The following is a 6,796-nucleotide window of genomic DNA, read 5'->3' as shown; positions in this document are numbered from 1 at the left end:
TGTGATGTTGCAGGTGAATTCAGCATCTGGGAGGGTGAAGCGCGTGTGTCATTAAAATGCAGCCACATGGTGGTGGACCCTGGACCAGGACTAAAATAGCTCCTCGCTCTGCCCACTTTTTTTATCCTTTCCCTGGTGTGTTCCGGCTGGCAGTCCTCACCATACGCTAATCAGCAGGTCAGTTACACTGATGTCCAAAAACCTGGGCTTTGAGCGATGTACATGCTATGTGTGCATATATATATATATATATATATATATATATATATATGTATATATATATATATATATACATACACGGAGGTTACAAAGGCAACCAACCACAGACGGTGCCCATTGCTGGTTCTCCAGGTGACCCAGGTACATGTCCCTGAGTTTCATCTCTTTCCTTTCGAGAATTTAGTCAGGATGTCACGTTCACCAGACTTGACACAGCAGCTGTGGCTTTTTCAAAGGGCAGCTCCAAGTCCAGATGGAACCGTAAAACAAGACACGAAAAACGTGATTAAAGAACGTACGCGTTAGAGTTCGCATGGCATATATATACATAAAATAATAGAAAATAAAAAATTATAAATATTTTATATTCATAATATAAAATATATATTTCCTGTGTGTACATTATATATAAATATTACAAATATATATAAAATATATTTAATATATTATGCATATATAATAATAGTTATAGTTAATAAATTAACTATAAAATATGTATATTATATTACATATGTATTATATATATTTATATTACATATGTATTATATATTATATTTATAATATATTTATTTATAATATATTAATATTATATTACATACTATTAATATATTATATATTCTATAATATATTTATATAAATATATTTATATATAATTTATATTATATATTTATATATTTATATATAATTTATATTATACAATACATATATATTTATATTATATATTTTATATAGTATACATATATAATATATAAACATATTATATATTTATATATTAATAAATATATAAAAATATATATTAATGTATAATGTATATTAATATATAAATAAATATGTATTATATATTATATAACATATAATATAATATATAATATAATATATAATATAATATAATATATAATGTAATATATAATATAATATAATATATAATATAATATAATATATAATATAATATATATTATATATAATTTTTAATATTGCTTATGTTATATATTGTATATTATATTATATAATATATTACATATATAATGTTTATATATGTTATATTAGAAAAATATTTTATATATACACAGACACAGGAAATATATATATTTATTTCTACAGGTATACATATAGAAAAATACAACTCCTTTTTTAGACATTGTTTAACTTTTAAAAATGATTATATTATAGATGTTTTGTATTTTATGTTAAAATTGAATTAATTTATTTATTCATTTTGAGATAAGGTCTTGCTCTGTCACCCAGGCTGGAGGGCAGTGGCGTGATCATAGCTCCCTGCACCCTTGAACTCCTGAGCTCAAGCAATTCTCCTGCCTCGGCCTCCCAAGTAGCTGGGAATACCGGTGCGCACCACCGCACCCAGCTAGTGTTTAAAAAAATGTTTTCATAGCAATGAGGTCTACCGTATCTTGCTCAGGCTGGTCTCGAACTCCTGTGCTCAAGTGATCCTCCTGCCTCAGCCTCCCAAAGTCCTGGGATGACAGACATGAGCCACTGCACCCGCCCCCGTTTTAAATTTCAGATGAAGGGGTGTGTGTGCAGGGGTGTGACTTAGGTATATTGTGTGATGCTGAGGTTTGGGCTTCTAATAATCCCAACACCCAGGTAGTCAGCGTACCCCCCAGTTGGTAGTTTTTGAACCCTTACTGCTCTCCATCCACACTCCTTTTGAAATCCCTAGTGTCTGTTTTTCTCATCCTTCTATTCATTTTTATTTATTTATTGAGATAGTGTCTCGCTTTGTCTCCCAGGCTGGAGTGCAGTGGCGTGATCTTGGCTCACTGCAGCCTCTGCTTCCTGGGTTCAAGTGATTCTCCTGCCTCAGCCTCCCAGGTAGCTGAGATTACAGGCACCCGCCACCATGCCCGGCTAATCTTTTGTAATTTTAGTAGTGATGGGATTTCACTATGTTGGCCAGGCTGGTCTTGAACTCCTGGCCTCAGGTGATCCACTCGTCTTGGCCTCCCAAAGTGCTGGGATTAAAGGTGTGAGCCACTGAGGCTGGCCGGAAATCTTTCTTTCTTTCTTTCTTTTTTTTTTTTTGAGACGCAGTTTTGCTCTTGTTATCCAGGCTGGAGTGCAGTGGTGCAATCTTGGCTCACTGCAGCCTCTGCTTCCTAGGTTCAAGCAATTCTCCTGCCTCAGCCTCCCCTCCCAAGTAGCTGAGATTACAGGCACACACCACCACGCCCAGCTAATTTTTTGTAATTTTAGTAGAGACGGGATTTCACTATGTTGGCCAGGCTGGTCTTGAACTCCTGGTCTCAGGTGATCCACTCGTCTTGGCCTCCCAAAGTGCTGGGATTAAAGGTGTGAGCCACTGCGCCTGGCCGGAAATGTTTCCCTTTTTAAATTTTATTTATTTATTTATATTTTGAGACGGAGTTTTGCTCTTGTTACCCAGGCTGGAGTTCAATGGTGCAATCTTGGCTAACCGCAGCCTCTGCTTCCTGGGTTCAAGCAATTCTCCTTTCTCAGACTCCCAGGTAGCTGGGATTCCTGGACCTGCCACCATGCACAGCTAATTTTTGTATTTCTAGTAGAGACGGGGTTTCATCACGTTGGCCAGGCTGGTCTCGAACTCCTGACCTCAGGTGATCCACCCACCTCGGCCTCCCATAGTGCTGGGATGTCAGGCGTGAGCCACCATGCCCCACCTTTGCGTTTCTAACTCTGTCTCGGTGTCTGCATTCCAGAACCCCCCAAGAAACACAGACCCGCTTCATAGACTTATTTTGCCACTTATACGTCTTATTTACTGACAAGTCCTTTCAGCTCTATTTCCTAATTTTTATCGGGTCAGGTGCCATCTTCGTATGACTTGTAACTATGCTTCCTAAATGTTGGCCACAAGTCCTTTAGGAGATATATGTCTTCCCAATAGTTTCTTACATTCTGTGGCTTGTCTTTTCACTTTCTTCAGAGTATTTCTTTTTTTTTTTTTTTTGCGACTTTTCCTCCCTCACTGCAAAACATCAGGCCTATGTAGGTACCTTATAAGCCGTAAAATTGCTTTATCTGAATTTTGCAATCTAGATTTTGGTTTTGACCATGAAAAAAAGACTCGTTGGCTGGGCGTGGTGGCCCAACACCTGTAATCCCAACACGTTGGTAGGCCAAGGCGGGTGGATCACAAGGTCAGGAGTTCAAGACCAGCCTGGCCAATATGGTGAAACCCCGTCTCTACTAAAAGTACAAAAAATAAAATAAAAAATTAGCCTGGCATGGTGGTAGGTGCCTGTAGTCCCAGATACTCGGAAGGCTGAGGCAGGAGAATCGCTTGAACCCGGGCAGTGGAGGTTGCAGTGAGCCGAGATGGCGCCACTGCACTCCAGCCTGGGCGACAAGAGTGCGACTCCATCTCAAAAAATAAAAATAAAAAAGAATTGTCTTAGTCGCTTGGCCTCCTGTAGAAGATATCATCGTTAAATGCAATCCATCATTCTTTTTGAGATCATAGATGCAACAGCACACCATGGTTTTGTGGTTTACATTTAAGTCCATGATTTATTTTGAGTTAATTTGTATAAAAGCTATGAGGTTTAGGTTGCGATTCATTTTTTGATGTTGTTCGTCATGTCTCCTTGCTCCAGAAATTTCAGTGAAATGGATATTCCTCTTCCATTAAATTACTTTTGCTCCATTCTCAAACATTAGTCGGACATCATTGCAGGTATCTGTTTCTGGGTTCTCTATGCTGTTCCATTTATTTATGTGTCTTATCTTTGTTCAGTGCCATACTCTCTCCATTTTATCCCAGCAATATAGTAATCCCAAAGAGTGTGTGATTTCTGTCACTTAATTCTTTCTCAAAATGGTTTCAACTCTTACAGAGCTTTTCCATTACTTTATAAATGTTATAATAATCTTTTCTATGTCTATTTTTAAAATTTTTTCTAGGTATATTTTTAAAATGCTGGGATTTTTATGTGAATTTTGTTTGTTTGTTTGTTTTTTGAGATGGAGTCTTGCTCTGTCGCCCAGGCTGGAGTTTACTGACACAATCTTAGCTCACTGCAACCTCCACCTCCTGGGTTCAAGCAATTCTTCTGCCTCAGCCTCCCGAGTAGCTGGAATTACAGGTGCCCTCCACCACACCCAGGCAATTTTTGTATTTTTATTAGAGACATGGTTTCATCATGTTGGCCAGGCTGGTCTCAAACTCCTGGCCTCAGGTGATCCACCCGCCTCAGCCTCCTGAAGTGCTGGGATTAGAGGCGCGAGCCACTGCACTCAGCCTGAATTGTGTTAACTCTGTAAATCAGTTTAAGGAGAACTTACATCTTTACTATAGTGATTGTGCTCCAGGAACTCAGTATGCCTTTCCTTAATTGGATCTTCGTTGATATTTTTCATCAGAATTTTATAATTTTTATCATACAGAACTACATATGCTTGGTGAGATTTATATATAAGTATTTCGTTCTCTTTGGAGCAATTTAAAATAGTTTTTTTTTTTTTTTTCTTTGAGACAGAGTCTCGTTCTATAGCCCAGGCTGGAATACGATGACACGATCTTGGCTCTCTGCAACCTCTACCTCCCGAGTTCAAGTGATTCTCCTGCCTTAGCCTCCCGAGTAGCTGGGACTACAGGCACCTGCCACCTCGCCCAGCTAATTTTTTTGTATTTTTTGTAGAGACTGGGTTTCACCATGTTGGCCAGGCTGGTCTCAAACTCCTGACCTCAGGTGATCCACGCCCCCCTCGGCCTCCCAAAGTGCTGGGATTACAGGCGTGAGCCACCACACCCGGCCTAAAATAGTATTATAGTTTATATTTTGGTTTCCCCTTGTCCATTGTCACTGTATAGAAATACAATTGATTTTTATACATTTATCTTGCATCCTGTGAACTTATTGAGCTCATTTATTAGTTCTAGAAAGTTTTTTCCAGATTATTTGATATTTTCTATCAAGACAATTATATCATCGTCAAATAGAGACAATTTTTTTCTTTTTTTCCATGAGGGTTTGTTTTTACTCTTTGACTGTTTTTTTTTTTTTTTTTTTTTTTTTTTTTTTTTGTATATTTTGAACTCTTCATAATGATTTTTTGTAAACCAAAATGATGTTTGGATCCTTAATACACTTCCCTGAACCCCATCCTGGAAAAACCCTCAAGATATACTCAGGTCAGAGGTCTCCAAGGAGCAGTTGCTTTGAACACTGCCCAGTGACCATGTGGCTTACCCAACCCTTGCAAATGCTTCCAGAAAATGTCTTTCTTTAGTCTTTTGCTGATAAGTTTAATCAGTCCACCAGTTTAGCATTTTGTATTCATAATGTAAATAAACCAGTTTCCCTGTGACTTTTTCCCTTTGTAGTCAAAGCTCTACACACCGAGCCCAGGGCCTTTTAATGCTTTCTGCTTTGCCAAAACCAGCCTTACTTTTCTGCCTATTTAAACATCATTGTTAGGGCCGGGCCTGGTGGCTCACGCCTGTAATCCCAGCACTTTGGGAGGCCGAGGTGGGCAGATCACAAGGTCAGGAGTTCGAGACCAGCCTGGCCAACATGGTGAAACCCCGTGTCTACTAAAAATACAAAAATTAGCTGAGTGTGATGGCAGGCGTCTCTAGTCCCAGCTACTCAGGAGGCTGAGGCAGGAGAATCGTTCGAACCCAGGAGGCGGATGTTGCAGTGAGCCGAGATCGCGCCATTGCACTCCAGCCTGGGCAACAGTGCGAGACTACGTCTCAAAACAAAAAACATCATTGTCAATATTCATCTTTGGTTTGAGCCTCCGTTTCTTTCTCCTTTAAATGAAATTGCTTAAGAGCAGATAAATGTTTTTCAGCACTTTATTCCTCCTTCTCAGTTCTCTTTGTTTCCCCTGCTTTATTAAAAATCTTAAATAATATCCATATTGTTGGCACCAGACTCTCATTGCCGAAACCCCATTTAGCTAAGCTAGTGCTGTGATCTCCCGGGCCTCCTAATGACATTCTTAAGCATGTCCCCCTCGGTGTGTGCGGAGGAAGCTGTGTCACTTATGTTGATCTGACAGAAGTCAACACAACAACAGCTCCCCTGCCAGTAGGATGCCCCGGGCTGGACTGTGCCTGTCAACTCCCTGCTGGAGGGTGGCTGTGAAATTTCTCATGCTGCCTTCTTGGAATTGTAGCCAGAGTGCATCCACAAAACAATGCTGCGGGATGCTGAATAACAGCCCCCAGTCATACACAGGTCCTTATCCTTAAAACCCATGAATAGCCTGTAATGAGGCCGAGGTGGGTGGATCACCTGAGGTCAGGAGTTCAAGACCAGCCTGGCCCACATGGCGACACCCCGTCTCTACTAAAAATACAAAAATTGGCCGGGCATGGTGGCTCACGCCTGTCATCCCAGCACTTTGGGAGGCTGAGGCGGGCGGATCACAAGGTCAGGAGATCGAGACCATCCTGGCTAACACAGTGAAACCCCGTCTTTACTAAAAATACAAAAAAAAAAAAAATTAGCTGGGTGCAGTGGTGGGTGCCTGTAGTCCCGGCTACTCGGGAGGCTGAGGCAGGAGAATGGCGTGAACCTGGGAGGCGGAGCTTGCAGTGAGCCGAGGTCTTGCCACTGTACTCCAGCCT

General features: G+C 40.1%; 1 annotated feature.

Annotated features, from left to right (window-relative positions):
* Positions 5,989 to 6,516: an enhancer, noted in NCBI's record as "NANOG-H3K4me1 hESC enhancer chrY:2010123-2010650 (GRCh37/hg19 assembly coordinates)". NCBI's record gives its function as "activates a minimal SCP1, AML or CMV promoter by ChIP-STARR-seq in naive H9 embryonic stem cells {active_cell/tissue: H9 hESC(naive)}" and the evidence as "EXISTENCE:reporter gene assay evidence [ECO:0000049][PMID:30033119]".

The sequence above is a fragment of the Homo sapiens genome, chromosome X (assembly GCF_000001405.40).
Source record: "Homo sapiens chromosome X, GRCh38.p14 Primary Assembly".
Lineage (NCBI taxonomy): Eukaryota > Metazoa > Chordata > Mammalia > Primates > Hominidae > Homo > Homo sapiens.
This window is presented reverse-complemented; position numbering and strand designations above follow the sequence as displayed.